This window comes from Homo sapiens, chromosome 15, assembly GCF_000001405.40.
Source record: "Homo sapiens chromosome 15, GRCh38.p14 Primary Assembly".
Classification (NCBI taxonomy): Eukaryota; Metazoa; Chordata; class Mammalia; order Primates; family Hominidae; genus Homo; species Homo sapiens.
In genome coordinates this window covers 93,856,392-93,880,074 of record NC_000015.10, presented here as the reverse complement: position 1 = coordinate 93,880,074, position 23,683 = coordinate 93,856,392, and the positions used below count along the sequence as shown (strand labels likewise).

The 23,683-nt window shown below is 38.8% G+C and overlaps 1 long non-coding RNA gene across 1 annotated transcript; it reads right to left on the bottom strand.

Moving 5' to 3' along the window:
• Positions 1–1,718: 1,718 nt before the first annotated feature.
• Positions 1,719–23,515, bottom strand: LINC02207 (long intergenic non-protein coding RNA 2207). Its single transcript, NR_120321.1, has 4 exons — positions 23,479–23,515; positions 14,427–14,701; positions 10,242–10,384; positions 1,719–2,041 (listed from the first exon to the last, which is right to left on the bottom strand). It is a non-coding gene; the product is annotated as a long intergenic non-protein coding RNA 2207 (long non-coding RNA).
• Positions 23,516–23,683: the final 168 nt, after the last annotated feature.

Here is a 23,683-nt window from a genome sequence, read left to right as displayed (position 1 = left end):
GGTCTCAAACTTGAGTGTGTATCAGAATCACCCAGAAGACTAAAACAAGGATTAGTGGACCCTGCTCCAGAATTTCTGATTCAGTAAGTCTGGGTGGAGGCTGAGATCTTTAATTCCAACATATTTTCAGGGAATGTTGATGCTACTGGTCCAGGAATAATACTTTGAGAACCTTTGGAGATATACTAGTTTCTCATTTCTCTTTCTTTATTACTCTAGCTCAGAGAATCTATCCTTCCTTGTCAACACTAGCGGCACCAAAGGTTGAATTCTATGTGGTTCAGCTTTCTGCTTAACATGTGGACTTTTCTCTCCCCAGGACTAAGTTGCAATCTGTTGGATTTCTTTGAGTTTTGTTCTTGTCCAGGGAAAGATGTTCATTAAATAGTAGCTGATGTGGCCGGGTGCAGTGGCTCACACCTGTAATCCCAGCACTTTGGGAGGCCGAGGCGAGCGGATCACCTGAGGGCAGGAGTTCGAGACCAGCCTGGCCAACATGGCAGAACCTTGTCTCTACTAAAAAAAAAAAAATACAAAAATTTGCTGGGTGTGGTGGCGTGCACCTATAATCCCAGCTACTTGGGAGGCTGAGTTAGAAGAATCACTTGAACCTGGGAGGCAGAGGTTGCAGTGAGCCAAAATTGTGCCACTGCACTCCAGCCTGAGAGACAGAGTGAGACTCCATCTCAAAAATAAAATAAAATAAAACGAAAAAAGAAAGTAGCTGACATATAAAGTGTCATGATCCCCAGACTCAGGGGAAGAGACGTGGCCTCTCAGATGAGGGTGGGTGAAGTTTAGTAGCAAACTTACCTGGGGCACCTCCCAGCTGATACCTCTGCATCATGACCTGAACATCTGAACATATGTGCCTTGAGAAAGCAGTCTTTGCCCAAAAGCGTGGGTCCCACAAACTCAAAAGAAGCTCTCAGTGTTTAAAATGAAAAAAGCTCAATCATGACAATAGAAACCATATTCACTATGCAGGAAATTGAAGTTCAAGTCTTACCTATATATCTGAGAAAAAGAAAAACCTGTGTTCAACCTCGGAGTAATCCCTAATGAACTACAAGAATCTCTGTGTGCCCTTTATCAGGTGACCAGCTAGCCATGCAGTCAGTTCGCATCACTGCAGAGCATATGAGGAAAGATGCACTACATTCATTTTCATGCACTTTTTACATATTGAAGTCAAAACTCCAATGTGTAAACTGAAAATTTGAAAAAAAAATTAGCACAATTTCCTCCAGGATTATTTGGCTTGCAAAAATGAAAGTGTAGTTTTATTTTAAGTGACTTTGGGTGTTCTCCCTATCGAAGTCTGGCTACATGTAGTAGAATTTATCTCATTCGTATATGGGGAAAATTAAGCCCTATTTCAGCATATGTCTAAGGACCACTTTACTGCGTGTACAGAGACCCAGGGCACTGGGGAGAAGACATGTTGCATTTAGCCAAGCTTTGATAAAGTAGGATAAGATCTGGGAGGACCTTGCACAAGCAAGGTTTCCACGTTAAAAGAGTTTGAATACACAGATTCCCATCAAAATTATGAATCTCTAGCCCAGTGCGTGGCACATTAAAAGCACTCCATAAATACTTTTGATTTGGAATTTAGTAGAGAAAAAAAGAGCCAAGATTTGTTGGGTTTCACTCTTGAACCTGTAACTCATTTTGTTCTGAAAACATTCCCCAGTAAAAAGGCTTGGACATCCATCTACAGCCTTGGCCATCCATATATATTTCTCTTAATTTTCCACAATATGTCCTCAGCAAGTGTAAAGTTGTAGAAAGGTGAACACCATGGTGTCCTGTAGAAGAAATAAATAGGAGGTCATTTTCCAAGATGCATGGTGACTCTAGACATCATCAGGCCTCACTGTAAAACCTTGCTTTTCCGGATGGTGAATGGATGTGAAAAGTTTTACAAACACTTCTTTTCCAAATGTTGAAGAATTTTAATTTTTTTCTTGTTGTAAAATGTTGATGCTCCAGCCATTGAAAATAGTGCAATATGAAAACTTGCTGATCTGCTTTTTGTCTAGAGAAAGAAAACAATTTGTTTGGCACAAGTCATTGATTTTCCAGTAATTTGAGCAATAAAGGGACTAAATTCTTAGAAAAAATACCAAATCCAACCCCACCTGCCTGATGTTTTCATAAGATACTGCATACTCAGCTTAGAGTCCAGAAACATTTATAATTTGCAGTTCTTAATGAACTGATGGAAAGGCAAAGATGTTAATAATTTCTACAGTTTACAAGCTAAAGGTATACTCATAAATTCCTAAGTAATTATGAACAAAATATTTAAACTCTTGGCCTCAATTTATTCAGTGATAATGTAAGAGCACCAAACTACCTGCTTCTCCAAGTATGTATTAATAAGTAATAGTAAAAATGATAATAATGACTCCTTTTTGAATGCTAGTGTTTTCTACATGTCAGGCATTATGCTAAAACCTTTACTTGAATTATCTCATTTTGTTCTTACCACAACCCTAAAACATGTTCTATGATGTCATTTTACAGATAGAGAAAACCAAGGTTATTTAGAGGATAAGCAACTTTCCCGAGTGAACAAAAACAGACCTAGGATAAATTCAAGTCTACCTAACTATAAAACCAGTGTCCACAAACACTTGTCAAAATTATAAATACGTTCTCAGATTAAATATTATTATTTCCCCCTTTAAAGGACATATATGGGCATACACTAAGCCATGAAGTAAATGATAGATAATAGATAGATAGATGATAGAGATAGATCACACACATACTTGTTTCTTTCCAATTCCAACAGCCCACTCTGTTTTTTCCATGACTCTGAATAGATTATTTCTGTTACTTTGGATAGGAGGGTTGATTTCATAAAACAAAAAATAAAAATAAAATCTTTTATCACCTTTAGATATAAATGACTTGTTTTTGCAATTCATGTAAATAACGAAAATTCAAACTTGTTTCACAGTTAAAATTTCTTTCTTCTTACTTCCAGATGTAGATTCAGATTCAGGGGCCTAACGCTCACACACTTTGGTGTATAACCTATTTTTTGAAAAGGGATGCAAATTTTGAAATATAAAAGTAGTTACAAAAGTGAATATTTAGTGTGATGTCAGCAAGAGGGTGGATTAGGAAGCTCCAGTTCATAGAAGGCCGTGGTACTTACTGTAGTATATGAAAACCACAGAGGCACTTCAGACCATTGAACATCTAGAGTGAAGAGATTACAGGCCAAGGAATGCAATAGAACATTTAGAACCCCCTAGAAAAAGCTAGAGTGAGATATTTTGGGAAATTAAGACACTTAAAACAAGCCTGGAAACACACAGGGACAGACACACACACACAGAGGCCCAGACAGAATGCATACCCAGAAAGGATCTGAAAAGACATTAAGACTTCAACCCAGGCTAATGTCAAGGATAGGTGGGCCCACTAAGTAGTAACAGTCTTCCACATCAGTTTGCAAAGATGGGGAGAAGTGTCCACTTTTTTCAAATGCCCAATTTTTAACAACAACAAGAAAAAAAAGGCATAAAATGAAATTGGGAAATATGACCCATGTAGAGGAACAACATAAATGTTGTTATATATGTATATATAAATATATATATATAGATTTATATATATACACACACGCAATGGAATACTATTTAGCCATACAAAAGAATGCAATTATGTTATTTTCAGCAATATAGATGAAACTTGAGGTCATTATGTTAAATGAAACAATCCAGGGACAGGAAAGACAAATACCACATATTCTCATATGTGGGAGCTAAAAAAGTAGAACTCGACCGGGTGCAGTGGCTCACGCCTGTAATCCCAGCACTTTGGGAGGCTGAGGTGGGTGGATCACTTGAGGTCAGGAGTTCGAGACCAGCCTGACCAACATAGTGAAACCCCATCTCTACTAAAAATACAAAATTACCCAGGCCTGGTGGCGCATGCCTGTAACTCTCGCTACTTGGGAGGCTGAGGCAGGAGACTTGCTTGAACCCAGGAGGCAGAGTTTGCAGTGAGCCGAGATCTTGCCATGGCACTCCAGCCTGGGCAACAGAGAGAGACTCTATCTCAAAAAAAAAAAAAAAATCATGAAAGTGATTAATAAAATGCCAGATACCAGAGGATGGGAAGAGTGTGGGTGGGAGGAAGGATGAAGAGAAATTATTTAATGAGTATAAACATACAGTTAAAATAAATAAGCTCTAATGTTTGATAGCAGAGCGGGGTGACTATAGTTAGCAACAGTGCATTATATATTTTAAAGTAGCTAGAAGAGAGGGCTCGAAATGTTCCCAACACACAAAAATGATAAATACTCAAGGCAATGGACGCTCCCAATACCCTGACTTGATCATTACACATTCTATGCGTGTAAGAAATGTACCCACATATACCCCATAAACATGTAAAATATTATGTATCAATTTAAAAAAGGATGATTCCAAGTTAGTAACTTAGCTTCATACTTTAAGATACCATAAAAAGAATAAACTAAACCTAAAGCTAGCAGAAGCAAATAAATAATAGAAGTTAGAGCAACAGTGTGGAAGTTCTTCAAAAAATTAAAAAATAGAATTACCATATGATTCAGCAATTCCAGTTCTAAGTATATAACCAAAAGAACTGAAAGTAGGGTCTCAGCAATGTATTTGTAAACCAATGTTAGTAACAGCATTATTCACAAAACCTAAAACATGAAAGCAATGGAATTGTCCATCAACAGATGAATAGATAAGCCAAATATGACACATGCATTCAATGAAATATTCTGCTCTAAAAAGGAAGGAAATTTTGGCATATACTGCTACGTGGATGAAGCTTGAGGATATTAAACCAATGAAATAAACCAGTCACAAAAGATAAATACTGTATGATTCTAATTAACCCCAAAATAGTGTCTTCCTCTCAATACTTGCAAATGATCAGAGAGAGCAAAGAATTGACAGGGTTACCACTGGATGCTGAGGCCTAAGTAAAACCTGGGATACATAGTTCACTCATCCCAGCCATCCTGTGCTTTCTTGCGTACAACACTTCGGTGGTCTTTATCATACTTTGTCAGGATGGAGAGGCAATCATCTCTATTTGTGTAACTCCTGTTCCACTCTTCACAGGCCAAAGGGGAACAACTAAGACAGGGAGAAATCTTTTCTTAAAATACATTCTGTCCACTCCAAGTACTAAATGTTAGAAAAAGTAAATCCTTGACATAGTATTCATATCTTAAAATTGGCTAGTTACCGTGAATACTGCAAAATTTTAAAAATAGAAACATCAAAATCAAGTATTTATGACATTTCCTTAAAGGACCATCTCTCTCACAGCAGAGATCCATCAATATTGGTTGCTCAAGATTACAAATATGTGTATAAAAGGGTCAAAGCTATGAAAAGAGTAGTTTCTCAGTAAATTTAAAGCAGCAACGAAATACAAAATTAGAATAGATACAGCATCCTATATTATCAAACACATTCAAGCCAATTAGTTCATAACATCTGTTGATATTTATCCACAATAGTCTAAAAAAATCACTTTCCTGTATCAACGCTTGCTACCTCTAATTTTTACAACAAATCAGCAAGCTAGGTATTCTTTTGCCTATTTTACAGATGCGGAAATTGAACAATAGGAAGATTCAACACAATGTAGTCAGGATAAGAATGAATGAGAAGAGGCCCAGTCCTTAGGAGGAATTGTAACCAAGTTTCATCTGTAGATCTCCCAGTGATCCTCCAGCCTTGAATTTGTTTTAAGATCTATCTGAGTTAGTACTTCCCTACGAGTTTCTCAGAAGCAAATCCAAATCTTCCCTTAAGTAAGGTATTTATTTAAAGATATTCAAATTATTTCTACAAATAACTATATAGAGTTAAAGATTTCCAGGTAACAGAGAAACGAAAGACATCATGAGCAAGAGCCAACAAAAAAGAGAAGCTGACCCACAAAATATTTAAATTTTGTGTGATCAGTCTTTAAAATAAGTGATTGTACTATGTGCAGAGAAACAAAGGTAAGCTTGAAAATGTAACAGCAAACAAAAAATGATAAAATATAATATAGCATATTATAAACTAAAGAATGAAACTAAACTTCTAAGCCTAAGGTACAATAATCAAAATCAATTACTCAAAGAGTAGGTTTTACATTAGATTACATATAGCCATAAGGAAAATTTTAAACTAGAAGATAACTCAGAAGAAATCATCTAGAATATAGCATAAAAAGGACACAAAGGTGGAAAAATTAGAATAGTATGAAAAGATATAGTAGATTCCATGAGATCTAGCCTTTACTTGAAAAATTGTGGTCCCAGAAGAACAGAAAGTTAAAAATGAGGCAATATTTGAAGAGATAACAGCTCAGAGTTTTCCTTAACAAGGCAAAAGCTTCAACCTACAGATTCAAGAAACTCAGTGGTACCCAACAGGATAAATAAAAATAGATATTCAGCTAAATACATCAGAGTGAAACTGCTGAATATCAAGTCAAAGAGAAAATCTTAAAAGCAGCAGAAAATTTTTTTAAAAAGACATTACTTTTATTGAAACCATAGAATTACAACTGCTGTCTCAAAAGCAACAATAGCTGGAAAACAATGGAATGACATTTCCAAGGAAACAAAAGAAAATAATTGCTAAATTACTAGATCTAGGAAAATGCAGCTTAAAAATGAAGTTGAAACAAAGACATTTTCAGACAAACAATAATACAAGACTGCAGCAGACTGTACTAGACAATTAAGACAGGAGGCTTTGACATTAAAAAAAGTAATCCTGTTAAAAGACATGGGTTGATGGAAGAGATAAAGAGCAAAGGAAGATAAATTGGGATGGGAATAATTCCAAATGCAAATCAAACAATAATGTTTTATTTATATATGATTTTCTTTTCTATTTCTCTGATTACTAATAAGAATGAACATTTTTTGTGTGTGTGTTCATCACCATTCATGATGCTCCTTTAAGAAATGCCTACTCCTGACCTTTGCCTTCTTTTCTATTTGGTCATTTGTCTTTTCGTGATTTATCTGTTAGTTATTTATTTCATATAAATTATATCATTTTTAGTTATTTTTGCTGTGTTTTCATCTTAAAAGTTTTTATTTTTTATGAAGTTAAATGTATCAGTTTCCCTTTATAAATATAACTTTTACTCTAATGTTTAAGGAAACTTTTATATCTCAAAACTAAAAAGTAAAACTCAATGATGGTTTGATTTGCAGCATTAGAAAGGGGGGGTTGGAGATGGACTCTCAGTTGACAGCTTGTATAAGTGGATGGATGGTAAATCTACCCACTGAGAAAAAGGACACTACAACAGTACTAGGTTTTAGGGAAGGGGAGGAAGATTACAAATTTATTCTTGGCCATATTCAGTTTGAAATGCTTTTGAGTCTTCTAAGATTAATGCATCAAGAGGGAAAATGTTTACATGCATCTGGTGCCTCTACAAGGTTTCAGTGATGGAGATGTTATTTATTAATTATTTGTATGACAGGGGAAAATAAAGCCATGAGTGTAAATGAGCTCACCTAAAATGAGCGGAACAGTTGTTCTTAACTAAGGGTGATTCAAATGTCCCACGGAACATTTGATGATGTGTGTAGATATTTTTTTGTTGTCACAACTTGGAGGGGTGAGAGGGGAGTGCCTCTATCAGATAGAGGTCAGGGATTCTGCTAAACAACCTGCAGTACACAGGACAGCTACCATAATGAACCCCACTTCATAACAAGAAATTGTCCATTCCACAACATCGGTAGTGCCACAGTTGAAAAAGAGAGAACTCAAGAATCATCTGGGTGTTAGGTTTCTGTGCTCCAGGTTGGCTAACTGAGAGGTGAGAGAGCAGAGAGAAGAGGGCACAGGCCGTGTTTTGAACAGCATTTGGTGGCTGTGTAGAAGACGGCAAATTTTCTAACGACATTGAGGAGGAGCAATTACTAATTTAGGAGGAAAACCAGGAGTGTTAAGTCACGGAAACCAGAAACCAAAGAGAGAAAGTGAGCAGGGATGTCAAATTCTAGTGAGTATATTCAAGTTAGGAATAAAAAGTATCAATCAGACAGAGATCATGTAAATGAAGGTTTTGATGGCCTTACCAAGAGCTGTTTCAGTGGCGTGATAAGGGCAAGAAGGGAGCAAAGTCAGATCAGAAGGTCTTGAGGATTGAGTGGGAGATACAGAAATGAAATTAGCAAGAATAAGTAGCTCTTTCAAGATATTTGACTGTGAATGAAAGAAGAAACAGAGGTGTGAAGGCTTGGTAGAATAGTGAGATTTCATTTCTTTTCTTTTTTTTTTTTTTTTTTTAAGGAGAGATTTAAGAATACTTAAAAGCCAATGGACAAAAATAACAAATGCTGGCAAGGATGCAGAGAAAAGGGAACTCTTGTACACTGTTGTGTAATGTAAATCAGTACAGCCATTGGAAAACCATATAGAGTTTCTTCAAGAAATGAAAAAATAGAACTACCACACAGTCCAGTAATCCCATCACTGGGAATTGATCCAAAGGAAAGGAAATCAGTACATCACAGGGATGCCTGCACTTCCTTGTTTATTGCAGCACTATTCACAATAGTCAAGATAGGGAATCAGCCTGTGTCCATCCATGGATGAATAGATAAAGAAAATGTGAGTCGTACGCACAATGGAATACAATTCATCCATTAAAAAGATGAAATCTTCTTATTTGCAGCAACATAGATGGAACTGGAGGTCACTATGTTAAGTGAAATAAGCCAGGCACAGAAAGACAAATATTACATGTCCTTACTCATAATGTAGGAGCTAAAAAGTTGATCTCATGGAGGTAGAGAGGAAAATGATAGTTACCAGAGGCTGTGGTAGGAGAGATGGATGTGGTGAGAGGGATGAAGCAAGGTTTGTTAATGGGTACAAAAATACAATTTGATGGAAGGGATAGTTCTAGTGTTCAATAGCACAGTAGGGTGACTCTAATTAACAACATATCTTATATTTTAAAATAGCTAGAAGAGAAGACTTGAAATGTTCTTAACAAAGAAATGGTAAATGTTTGAGGTGATGGCTATCCTAAATACTCCAATTGATCATTACACATTGTATGCATGTATCAAAACACTGCATGTACCCCATAATATGTACAAATATTATGTATTGATACAAATCATAAAAATAAAAAAAATTAAATAGAAGCAGGGCTACCCAGGTGCCACCATGCTTGAGAGGCCATCTGTAGGTACCGTGGCCAGTGACCCCAGCTGAGGCCATCCCCATTAAGACATCAGCCATGTGAGCAGAGCCATGGCAGACCTCCCAGCCTGACCATCTGCCCGCTGAATTCCATGGAGTGACCTTAGTCAAAAGAGGTGGAAAAGAAGACTTGGCCAACCAAAAGGAGCTTGAATTTCTGACCACAGAATTCCTGACCATAAAATTATGAGCTCTAATAAAATGTTGTTTTTAAAGGCAAACAAACAATGACAAAGGCCAATGGAGTAGATCCAAATGAGGGAGAATGAGAGAAATGTACTAGAGAGATCCTGACAGTGCATGGATGTGGAGGATGGGAGAATTCAAGGGCCAGAAGGAAAAGATGACTTTAGATAGGAGGAGAAATGGCTCTGCCAGTGTAATAGGGAGAGAGAAGATGGAATGTGTTATGTGTAGGTGGATGTGTGTGTAGGTTTAGGATCGATACTTCCAATCTAACAGCTTCCACTTTTAATCTAAAGTAGGAGGCAAGTTCAACTGCTGAGAATTGGGAAAGAAGTGTGGAATGAGACTGTACAGAGTGGAGATAGTTTTTAATATGCCTTGTGTTTGGTAGAATAGTCAGTGATAAAAGAAAGGTAACAAGATAACACGATCCTCCATCTCTGTCTAATTTCAGTCACCATCTCTCCCTCACTCTCTCCCATTTCCTCTCTCCCTTCTTTCTCCCTCCTTCCCTTTTCCCTCTCCCTCTCTGTCTCACCTCTCAACCAACCTGGAGCACAAATACCTAACAGCCAGGTGATTCTTGAGTTCTCTCTTAAACATCAAGTGTTAATAGATTTTTCATCCCACACAGGACATAGTTACACAGAAGACATTTCAGTGGAACACTTATTCTCCGATTTTTCTGCCTTAGGACCACATCTTTACATTTTAAGTTTCTAACTTGTTATACAGTCATCAGAAATATGTTCAAATGAATCCTCTATAAAACTCACTATTTTAGACCATCGCTACTCCATAAAGTACCTGAAATGAATGATAACCTAACACAATAGGTCTCTGCTTATTTCTGCTCCTCAGCAACCAATGATATCTTCCCATGGCTGTCACAAGTGATAGGCTTAGTGTAGTCAGATTCACTTCAATTCTGATTCCTTTAATTCTAATTTCTGTGAAAGAAATTTGAGAAACTTACTTAAATTCCCCAAGACACTGTTGACTAATCATTAAATGGCCATTATGATAACTGTCTTTCATAGGTATTGTGAGTATTAACTACCTAGATACTTAAAGTGATCATAATTTCTGATTCAAGCTAATTGTCCTGGCATAATTATTAACAATGTCTTCTTTCTGTTCTTTTTTTTTGTGCTTTTTCTTCTTTTAACTTTTATTTTAAGTTCAGGGGTACATGTGCAGGTTTGTTACACAGGTAAACTTGTGTTGTCATGGGAGTTTGTTACGCAGATTACTTCATCACTCAGGTATTAAGCCTAGTACCCGTTAGTTATTCTTCCTGATCCTCTACCTCCTCACACCCCTCACCCTCTGGCAGGCTCCAGTATGTTTTGTTCCCCTCTATGTGTCTTAAAATTGCCCAGATTTAAATAGCAAGTTATATGTTTACCCCTTAGGGCCACCAGTGTGTTTATAAATGTTTAAAAACTAGTTCTCCAGAGAGATAAAAAAACGATTTGCAGCATTTGTAAGTTTCCATGGTGTAAATATTCCCTCTGTGGCCAATGTGTTTCGCTTACAGAATTACTGAAAATTTAATAATTGGCTTCTGTGAGCTAATAAGAGCTGGCTCTAGCACCATTGAAAGTGGCTCTCAAAATTAGCTGCACATTGAAATGACTTATGTAGCTTTAAATATGTTGGATTCCACCTGTATTGGTCTGCAGTTAGCCCTGGCATCAGGATTTGTAAAAGTTCCCTTGGTGATTCTGCTATGCAGCTAATCTTAAGGACCCTTGCCCTATACACCCAGCCTATGGTAAGTGATCAATAAGAGGTGGCCATTTCCATTGGATAGGCTCTTCTTGTGACAATTTTCTCTTGAATGACTTCCTCTCTTTTCTCTCTGGCTTGAATGTAAATGTTAATAAGTAAATTTGGGAAACTATTAAAACCAGAATTCTGAAAGACTTCTTGATTCGGGTCTTTCTTCACGGATCACTCCCCACTAGAAAATAAATGTGTTCTTCTGTCAACCTGTATGCTAGTCTACTGAATTTTCACCACCTTTTCTATTTTTACTTCTTAGCTTTACCCATCCTGAAACTCTCTCCTTGAGAGTCTCATGTGATATGAAAGTGGGAAACACAAAGTGTGGAGGTCACCCAAATGGATAGCAGGGTCATGATGTGGACAAGGCACACGAGAATGTCCGTGCCATGAGCTATTGAGGATAAGAAGAAAGCAGGAATTCAGTCATAGGCAGGAAATGGCAAACCACTCCCAAGGGACAGGAACAACTTGAAATTGATCAGATATGGATTTGATATTGAAAGAGGTCTAATCCAGTTGTTGAAACATGGCCACAGAGTCTGCAGGCAAGCATGCTATTCTAAGAGATGGGAGATGGCAATCACTCTTTTTCTGGCCAGTCTATTGCAAGGGTGAAGAAGTTTCACTCAAAAAGTCTAAAATATAAGATTTTTATTTTCAAGTACTTAAAACTCTCTTCTTTCTTCGTAGAGATAGATATTTTATGATGGTAAATTAGTCCCTGAAAGTCCCTTAAGTTCCTTAAGCTTTATAAATTAGTTTTCTAGTCAAGCAGTAGTTCCTATGCTGTGTTCTAGATAAGGTTAGCTCACAGGTGGCAAGCTGTGCTATGTCACCCTCCTGAACAAAGAGGAATGTTGAGTGTCTATATCCCTTCCTAAAAGTCCTAATGTTGACTTCTGTCACATTTACATTTACATTTTATTAAGAGACCTACATCATAGTAATTGAGATATTGTTAAAACTTGTTAAAAGACTCAGCTCTAGATTATCAACACAGCTTTGCAAATTTGTTGATAAACCAAAGATATAAGTTCTTCTTGAGAATACCTTCTGCAAGACTGACTAGGGAGCCTGGTTTATATCAAAATGGGCATTATAGGAAAGAACAAGATAAGAAAATGGCATTTAGCATTTATCAGAATTTGGTGTTTTAATTTATGAATTATATAATTCAGTTTCAACACAACAAGTGGAGTAAGAATTATTGTTCCCAATGTACAGATAAAGAAGTTGAGGTTATGCATAGAGTAATCACTAGGACCAAGATGAGAACCTAAGCCCCCTGTTCTCTGTCAATGATACATCATTATTTCATGTTGCCCCAATTAAATGAACAAATAAGGCTTTTGAGGAGGAGGCAATTCCAGCTATGGAAAGATTAAATCCAGAGCTTGAAAACTGAGTATGCATTCAGTCTTCTGCTACTTTTCCTTCACCATGCTGAAATCTGCAGGGGACAAAGAGATTGTTAGTATGATCTTCATTCTCAAGGAACAAATATTGGTTTAAAATGAGTCAGAGGACAATACAAGATCATCAAAACAAGTTCTGAAATGTGTGGTACAGATGCAAGGAACTTTGGGACTCTGAAAAGGAGAAAGAGGTCAGTGTGGCCTGAAGGCCTTGAGATGGGATTTGTTGGAGGAAGTAGGAGTAAGACAGGTTTTGGAACTAAGTAATATTTAGACAGCTGGAGGAAAGCAGGCCAGGAGAGCCGCTCCTCAGCTAAGCAGATTTGTAATATAGCAGATCTTGTTCAATCAGCAGATGATGAGATTATGTTATTATTTCCTTCCTTCCAGGGGAAATTTATGGAAAGATGTCCTCCTGCAACTGCTGAAAATGCAACATGCTGCCCAGGTCCTGCTCAGACCACTGACAACTCAGAAGTTAATACTCAGAGTGGAAAGGTGAGTAAAGGCTGTTTAATGACCACCCCATGAAAAGAGTCAGAATTACATCCCTCTTGATTCCTGTTTCTTTCTGAACAACATAAATGTAATGTAAGCCAAGCTAATACATGCTGTTTTGTGGTATATAATGGGTTTTCTGTAGCCAGATGTGGCGCTGATTATTATTTTTTTTCTGCAAACCTGTGTTACTTTCAGCGTAGCAAAGTGTAGTACATGAGCAAGCGTTTCAAGCCAGACGGAGTTAATCATCTCTGTCACTGAATTGGAGCTCACGGTCTGCTGGACAACTGTGCTGAGTGGAAAGGAAGCCTCGATGGCTAAGTCACTTGTCCAACCTCAGACACTGGCAGATCCAGGATTCAAACAGCTAGACTCCAAATGTGTTTCCTTTAACCTCTTTTCTACCTTTTCAACTTGATTCCACACATCACCACTGGGAAAGCTTAGGTGAGTAAGTCATGTGGGCTTTGGTTTTTTCATCTGCACGATGGATAGACTGAGACCTTCTTCCCTCATGCCTCTGAGGATGACATAAAAAACCCACAAAATCCCTAGTCCACTTACTTGCTCACAGATATTTACTGAGTGAGCATCTGATTTCCATCCCATTGTCACCTTCTCCCTAGCTGTCCAGACACCCTGCTTGCCTGGCCAATGCCACCAAAGAATGGAACCTGCTTTTGTTCCACACTCCGTAGCCAGAAAAAAGAGACAGTTGTTCTGGCATGTTATTGTTTGATTTTATTTTACCTCAGGGATTAAAAAAAATGACTATCAATTATAGCAACATCAGGTAGAGGGTTTGGTATACATTTCCGATGAGCTTAGATTTCTCTCAAATTCTCATACTTTTAAGATTTATTTTTAAATGTGAGCATTGAAACTTAACCAATCCTTTAGACTCTTACTCAACAAGGGATTCTAAAGAACATTTCTCAGTAGGAATTAATCATTTATTTTGAAACTACATATCTAATTTGTCTACTATGGGAAGGATATGGAAAGAGAAAACCCAATTCTTTTTATTTTTTGGAACAGCTGGGTCCCCAAACCACCAGCAGCTGCTTCACAAATTGCCTAGCCATTAAGTAATTATTTCCTCATCATAAGAGCAGCTGGAAGAGCTAGTCTCTCTCCCTCCCCAGTGCAACTCCCACTTCCTTCTGCCTCCTCCACCCTGTCCTGAAATGGGCAGGCCAAGAGGTATACGGTATTGGTTTTCTTTACGTAATTGAAGACTGGAATTGAGCACTCTGATAGCTGATTATTTTTCAACAGCGCTTACCTTAAAGGCAACAGAGGATGACTTGGATTCTTGTGATGCTAGATCTCTACGTGACATGAAATGTTGATATCTAGGCATGTAGGCCACTTCCCTCGTTTTGTTGGTAAGGAACTTAAGTGCAGAGAAATGGTTTATTCAAAGTCCCATTTAGCAAGTGGCAGAGCTGAGTCTTGGATTCAGGTCTTACCACTTCTGGCCCAGTGTTGTCTCCACTATCCATGACAATGGACCGCAAACTTGCCTCATCTTCCTACCAGTCATCTGCTATCTGGGGACTGAAGAAACAGATGAAATGGGCGATGTTTTCTATTTCATCAAAAGAAAAAGATAACGTTGAAGTTTTAGCAATTGCATATACTTTCCAAAAGTGTAAAGACAATATAAAAATGCCTCATAAAACCACAAACTACACACTCAAAAATATCAGTCAATACCATCAATCTACTCCATACCCAGTCAAAGTCAAGGAAAGTTCACATTTTATGGGTAAACAAAGAGCTTTAGGGAAAGATTAAATCATCCAAAAAATTGGCCATATTTGGAGTTCAATCAATTTTAAGTTCTGTCTCTATCCCCCCAAAACATAGTAACATATTTTGATACTTTTTCTTCCAAGATTCCTCAGAATAGTGGCTCCTACTCTGGAAGCATTTCACTTTGCGCTAATCCAGTGTTTCATAATGTGTGGTCCATGAAAACTTTGTGTATATTCTAAGGATCTAGGATAGGAACAGAAGGGGAGGATGGTGTACTCGTTAAAAGTTCAGATTCCTGGGCCTTGCCCCAGACATACTTAATCCTAATTTCTGAAAGGTGGAGTGAGGGATGAGGTTAGAAGTAGTAATTAGCATAATTTTCCTTTTTGTATCTGCCTCTATAACTTCAGACAACCACCATGTCTTAGTCTGTTTTGAAATGCCATGAAGGAATATCTGAGGCTGGGTAATTTATAAAGACAAGAGGTTTATTGGAGAGAAAAGGAAATACTTATACACTGTTAGTGGGAATGTAAATTAGTTCAGCCATTGTGGAAAGCAGTTTGGAGATTTCTCAAAGAACTTAACGTAGAACAGCCTTTTGACCCAGCAATTCTGTTACTCGGTGTATACCCAAAGTAATATTAATTGTTCTACCATAAAGACACATGGACATGTATGTTTATCTCAGCACTATTCACAATAGCAAAAACATGGAGTCAACCTACATGCCCATCAACAGTGGACTGAATAAAGAAAACATGGTATATATACACCATGGAATACTATGCCACTATTAAAAAACAATGAGATCGTGTCTTTTGCAGCAACATGGATGGAGCTGAATGCCATTATCCTAAGATAATTCATGCAGGAACAAAAAACCAAATACCTCATGTTCTCACTTGTAAGTGAAAGCTAAACATGGAGTACACATGTACACAAAGAAAGGAACAATAGACACCAAAGCCTGCTTGAGGGTGGAGGATAGGAGGAGGGTGCGGATCAAAAACATACCTATAGATGCTATGCTTATTTCCTGGATGACAAAATAATCTGTACACCAAACTCCTATGGTATGAAATTTACCCATGTAGCAAACCTGCACATGTAGCCCCTGAGTACATGTTTCTTAACAACATAAATGTAACATTAGTCAAGCCAATACATATGTTTCTTCGGACATTAAGTAGTAGATAACTATTAGGAAGATGAGGCAAGTTCATGGCCCACTGTCACAACACAGTGGAGAAAACACTCCACTGGGCCTTTATTTCCCAACTAAAACAAAAGTTGGGAAGAAAAACAATAAGAAGAAAGGTTTGTTTGGCTCATGGTTCTGTGGGCTCTACTAGAAGCATGGCAGTGGCATCTGCATCAGGTGAGGCCTCAGGCTGCTTCCACTCATGGCAAACGGCAGAGGAGAGCTGGCTGTGCAGAGATCACATGGTGGGAGAGGAAGCAAGAGAGGGAGAAATAGTGCCAGGCTCTTTTTCACAGCTGTCTCTCATGGGAACTAACATGGTGAGAACTCAGTCACTCCCTCCCCTCAGAAAGGGCATTCATCTATTAATGGGGATCTGCTCCTACTACCCAGACACCTCGAATTAGACCCCCTTCCAACACTGGAATCAAACTTCAACATGAGGTTTGAGGGGGTCAAACAGCCAACCCATAGCCCAGCCTGTAGACACAAATGAGGTAACTTCAGTGCTTAAAACCCACTCTGCTAGACTGCAGCTTCCACGGGTACCCTCAGAATCTTTGCATCACCCCACATGACTCTAACTCGCCATGAATTTCAGTTATTTGGAGCATCATTGACAGCTGACAACCACTTCTCTTACGAGGTCTTTATTCTGGTCTTCACATGCTATGCCCACTCCCACAAGGCACCGTAGATACATTTGGTCAAACCATCCCCCCCTGAGAACACCTCTGCTTTGAGCAAAATACCTGCTGCTGGTGCTCTCAGAGATGTGAGAAGCTCCAGGAGTCCCAGTGGTCCTGCACTGACTTTTGCCATCACCATACTGCAGGATTCATGCTGGGATCTGCTCGAAGTGGGGAGAAGGATCCTGTCTCTAGTCTGGGGTTGCTTGTTGTCACTTGAGCTCAGGCATTTTACTCCTTGTCTCTGATCTCACAGAGTCCGTTACATAAATGACTTCCTCAGCTTTCACCGCGCTCTTCCTTCCTCTTGGGCTCTGACGCAAGTCTGGGAACGTACTGTATTATTTGCCCGTAGCTCAGTCTCTGGCCCTGACACAACACCCCAGACACCCTCCTCTAAGTCTCCTTTTTCCCATGGACAGAACTCTGTCATACAGGCACATGGGTTTTCCATAACCTCAAAACTCAGCAGAAAGTCTGTGAATCCCAGTTATGGTGCCAGTGAAATATCCCCCTCCCTTCGTTTTCACTTGCAGGCATCCATTATTTTGAAAATTGCTTTGTGCCTCATATTCCCATTCCATTCACATATTCATTCCCACATAAATTTGGGAGATATGCATGACAAAATACTAACAGAAAAGGAGAAATAAAATAGAGAAACATAAAAGGGCAGAAACAACATTAAGGACATGAGAAAACTTTAAACAGGAACAATAGAGAAATGGGGAAATAGAACCAGAAATGCACAGAATAGACATGTGGGTAGGATAAAGCAATGAAGAAACACAAAAAGAGATATGGAAGACACAATCGGGTAATGATAATAATATTGGCTAATATTTATTGAGCACTTATGCTGCATCAGGCCTTATGCTATGTGCTTTACTTGCAAAATCTCCGTGAAGCACCATAATAACCCTATCAATAAACACTATTTGAATTTCCATTTTGTATGAGGCAGGTGAGACTTAATCAGTCTCGGAACTAACAGTCTGTGGCTTCCGCATCTGTGGTAAATCTGCTACCCTGATTCCCCCAAGCACTCTCCTGTACTCTGGCTACTCCAAGTCCTCCTCTGGGTCACCTCCTTTGACTGCTCCCCACTTGGCCTGTTCCCCTCCCTGCTTTCACATGATCCAGTGACTCAAAGCTGAGCGCCTGGTACAGCAGGAACTCCCAGTACCTGCTCCTGGGCTGTGCTGTCATCTGCTTGAACTGGTTGAGCCTCAACAATTTTATCTATTTTGACTATGACCCCTGATTAGAAGTTCAGTCAATTTTCCAGCTACAGTAGTCCATGAGGATACATTCCAGGCAACCCCCCTGCAGTGGTTGCCAGAAACCACAAATAGTACTGAATCCTATGTATATTATGTTTTTTCCTGTATATGGATACCTTATAATAAAGTGTAATTTATAAATTAGCCACAGGAAGAGATTAACAACAATTAATAATAAAATAGAATAGTTGAGTTAAATAATTGAGTACAAGCACTGCTGCAATACAATGGCCGCCGGTCTGATAACCGAGATGGCTGCTAAGTGACTAACAGGCAGGTACTGTCTACGGCGCAGACACGCCGGACACATGGATGCATCACGTCTCAGGCAGGATAGAGAGGGACAGAGAGAGATTTCATCACGCTACTCAGCAACAGTGCGTAATTGAAAACATATGAATTATTTCTTTCTGAAATTTTTCTTTTGATATTTTCAGACTGTGGCTGACTAGATAACTGAAACCACAGAAAGTGAAACCACAGATAAGGGGGGACTACTGTCATAAGTGGTAAGCTAGGTTTTGAACTAGGGCAGAGAGTTTCCTGGCAAGAATAAGGCCCCAGTGAAATATGATGAAAAATGATAGTAATGATGAACTGAAAATTTTTTAAAACTTTAAAATGGTCATTTGATGAATGATTTAAAAAGTAAAGGGTCAGAGAGGGTCAGGCAGGAACTGGAAAATGAGCATCGACTGCCCCTCCTCCCATTTTGTCCAGTGAAAAAACTGAGGCCATGGTCTTCCCAGTCATCTCATTGGGCATGCCCGGGTTGGGGATGGCCAGGCTTCACATCTCTGCTCTCTCCAGCATTGGGAGGATTCTAAAATGATTTTCCACAGGATGCTGATAGTCAATGGCAGCGACCATGATGGTAATACACTAGAAAAAAGAGCAACTGAAGAAAATGCAAATATAGCGGCAAATGTGCTTAAATTAAGGCAACAGCAATAAAAAAAACCAGAGGTAGAAAGTGTTAAGCCTTAGTTACCGCACCAAACAATTGACATGCTTCCTACCCACCCTCAGACCTGGTTGTTAAATGCAAGCTATACATTATGCAGACCCGATAATGAAAATCTACATTCCATAATTTGCAACCTGCTGGCTCTGTTATGCCAAGTGCATCTTAAAGAAGGCATCTTTCAACCTAATTGCATGCAATTTTTCCCCATTCTAATTGTGTTATGAAAATACCACTATCTCATTCAAGCACAACCAGATCACTTTGCTTTTCCCCTAAAGCACACATCAGTAAAGCAAAACAAAACTGACGACTTTCTATTTTGCTATGCACCCAGGAATCCCAAATCGAAGTGTAATGGTTACTGACAAGCACTTTTTTTTCTGTAAGCCTCCAGGTCAGATGTTGGGAGATTTTTCTTGTTTCCAGGGTTAGGATTGCAAATAATAGCAACCTACACACATAGATAAATGTCTCAACCAAGGGTGATTTTGTCCCCCGTCTTCCTCACTCCTCAGGGACATTTGGCAAATGTCTGGTGGCATTTTTAGTTGTCATATCAGGGAGGAGGGTACTTGTATGTAGTGGATGGAGGCCAGGACTGCTGATAAATATTATACAATGTTCAGCACAGCCCTTCCACAAAAGGAAATATTCTGCCCAAGGTATGAATATTACCAAGGTTGAGAAACCCTGGAGTCTAAGGTAATGTTAAAGGACATTTGGTTAAACTCACCTATGGTAACACATTGATTGTACCCTTGTGTGTGTCAAAGAGTTTTAGGCCAGGCACAGCGGCTCACACCTATAATCCTAGCATTTTGGGAGGCCGAAGTGGGTGGATCACAAGGTCAAGAGATCGAGACCATCCTGGCCTACATGGTGAAACCCCGTCTCTACTAAAAATACAAAAATTAGCTGGGCATGGTGGCACGTGCCTGTAGTCTCAGCTACTTCCAAGGCTGAGGCAGGAGAATCGCTTGAACCCCGGAGGCGGAGGTTGCACTGAGCCGAGATTGTGCCACTGCACTCCAGCCTGGCGACAGAGTGAAACTCTGTCTCCAGAAAAAAAAAAAAAAAAGGGAAAAAAAGTTTTATTTGAAAAGACCACTCGTTCATGTAAATGAAATATATACTGTGTGCTCATCTATGGGAACCATAGCCAATTTCCACCAATGCCCTTGCATATGAGCTGTAGCCCCAGAGACCATGATTATCTTCTCCACTTGGAAGGGTAGAACTGATTAGTGCCAGAGCATGGGTCTGCCAGGGCAAAGGTAGCCTATTCAAGTCCTCCAACAGCAAAAATGTCAAAGAGTTCGTGGCAAAAAATTGTCCTTGGAGAGCATCGAGGAGAAGAAGTCAATATCTCAAATTCAAAAGAGTGGGAGAGTCCAAAGATGAGCCGCAAGGCTGAGGGTCCCGAGAATAATCAAACCAGTGAGAACAGTCTGCAGCAATAAATGGACATGTTGCTGCAGGAAAGGGGTCTGCCAGGATATAGCCGGGTAGCTGCAGGATATCCTCGTTGGATTCACACACACAAACACACACACAATCATGTTCTGCATAACAATGTTGTAGTCAACAATGGACTGCACATACAAAGGTGGTCCCATAAGATTAAAACAAAGCCACAAAATTCCTATCAATAGTGACATCATAGTCATTGTCGTGTCACAACTCAATGCATTACTCACATGTTTGTGGTCATCCTGGTGTAAACAAACCTACTGTATTTTCAATTGTAAAAAAATTATAGCACATGCAATTATGTGCAGTACATAATAATAAATGGCTATGTTACTAGCTTATGAAATAAATACTATACTATATTTTTCATCATTATTTTAGAGTGTACTTATAAATAAGTTATTTTGAAGCAGCCTCAGGCAGGTCCTCCAGGAGGTATTCCAGAAGAAGGCACTGTTATCACAGGAGATGACAGCTCCGTGTGTGTTTTTGCCCCGAAGACTTTCCAATGGGACAAGAGGTGGGACAAGAGAGTGATATTGATGATCCTGACCCTGTGTAGGCCTAGGCTATTGCGTGTCCATATCTTCATTTTTAACAAAAACTTTAAAAAGTAAAAAAAGAGATTTAAAAATAGAAAAAAGCTTTAGAATAAGGATATACAAAAGAAACTAATTTTGTACAGCTGTACAATGTGTTTGTGTTTTAAGTGTTATTACAGAAAAGTCAAAAACTTTTTAAAACTTAAAAAGCTTATAAAGTAAAAAGGTTACAGTAAGCTAAGGTTAACTTATTATTAAAGAAAGAAAAAAGTTATAAAGGTAGCGTGGCCTAAGTGAACAGTGTTTATAAAGTGTACCGTAATGCACGGTAACTTCCTAGGCCTTCACATTCACTCACTACTCACTGACTCACCCAGCGCAACTTCCAGTCCTGCAAGCTCCATTCATGGTAAGTGCCCTACACAAGTATGCCATTTTTTATATTTTATAGCATATTTTTACCGTACCTTTCTATGTTTAGATACACAAGTACCATTGTGTTACAATTGCCTACAGTATTCAGTACAGTAACAGACTGTACAGGTTTGTAGCCTAGGAGTAATTGGCTATTCCATACAGCCTAGGTACGGAGTAGGCTATGCCATCTAGATCTGTGTGAGTACATTCTGTGATGTTCACACCATTATGAAATCACCTGATGCACTTCTCAGAATGTATCCCCATCATTAAGCTAGAATAATATATATATATATGGATATATATATATATATATCCCATTATCTTTTGTCTCTACGCTCATTCAACTTGAACTGTTTCAAACTTTGGAGACTTACAATTATGCTGATTCCTTTATTTAATAAAAGAAAAAATTAAGCTCTCATGGCTCGTGGCTTTTCTTATTGCCACTGCATGGACTCTGAACCTCTGTCTCAGCCAGGCACGAGGAAGCAGAGAGGTGGTGAACTGAGAGCTGCAGGGTCTCACTGTTTTGTTCTAGATCAGCACTTTTTAAACTTTAGTGGGTGCAAATCACATGAGGATGTCATTAAAGTAAAGATTACAATATAGTATGTCTGGAATGAATCTTAAGATTCTGCCTTTTCAACAAGTTCCCAGCATATATGGTGTTGTTCTTCTGCAGACCCCGCTTTAAGAAAAAAAATTAGAAAGCTCTAGATCTTAATTCAAAACTCTTATTTTTTTCAACTTGGGGGTGGGAATGGTGGTAAGACAATTTGGCAAGATTTGGCAATAGGGACTGCTAGTATAATAGACTATTTCTCTCATCTATTCCCCTCTTCACCCCTCTTGACACACCCTGCCAGAATGCATGTGACCTTCCAGAAAGGAATTATGCTCAGCAAAATGCCCTGAGGTATTAAATAATGAACTAAAATATGACTCTTTTTTTTTTTTTCTGAGACAGAGTCTGGCCCTGTTGCCAGGCTGGAGTGCAGTGGCACCAGGACCAGGTTGGAGTGCAGTGGCGTGATCTCGGCTCACTGCAAACTCCGACTCCCTGGTTCAAGCAATTCTCCTGCCTCAGCCTCCCAAGTAGCTGAGATTACAGACACATGCCACCACGCCCAGCTAATTTTTGTATTTTTAGTACAGACGGGGTTTCACCGTGTTGGCCAGAATTGTCTCTATCTCCTGACCTCGTGATCCTCCCGCCTCGACCTCCCAATAAAATATGACTCTTAACAAATATAAAATGAATGTATGTAAAGATTTTCTTTAAGTAATGAGTGAACCAGTAAGATGTTACGATCAGTATGAGGGAGGATTCAAACAACACACACATCCGTGCAATCAGAAATGCTGAAATAAACAAACACAGAAGATGTCAATAGTTACTGGGCAATAATACATTTGATTCTACTGGACAAAGTTTATTTGCATTCCTAGGAAAAAGTCATTTGCATTCACATAAGCTTTCTACACATTACAGATTTATAAAATGGTTCAAAAGAAGTGCAGACCCCTATAGAATTAGGTAAAATGGAAAGGCAGCTAAAGAGGACACCTAGTAATTATTTTATCCATTTCAAAGTCTTTCCACAATTTTTCCTGACAGAGATAACACTTTAGGAAGAATATCCTAAGTTAATTGAGAAGCCATATGAGAAATAATATAACTATTGCCCCCAAACTAGCCCTGTCCTCTTATCCCCTCCTAACCACACACTAGCCGGCATCAGGAACCAGGACATAATCAGACAGCTCCTTTCCCGTCTCTCCTTTCCCAATCATACAATGCACATGCCACCTGTTCACCATTTTTTTCCACCCCTCACCATCCCATACCCACATAGATGTTCTCTTTCCCATTCTCCTAAACTTCCTCAAATATTCTTTCTAGGAAGGCTTATCTCAAATATCATCTCCTCATTGAATAACAATAATGATGATAATAAAAGCCACTAATTGATTCCTTAGCTCTTTAGCTCACCACCTCACCTTCACAACTATCCTCAGAGGTAAGCTGTTATCATTGCAATTTTACAGCTGGGGAAACCAGAGCTGAGAGAGCCCGAGCCTTTTTCATAAGGTCACAAAACTATTATGAGGTGGTAAATGCTTTACTACCATGAAATAAAAAGATTTCCTCTCTCTTAGAGCTTTAGCACTCTGTCCATGTGCTCACTTAGCTTTTTTATCACAT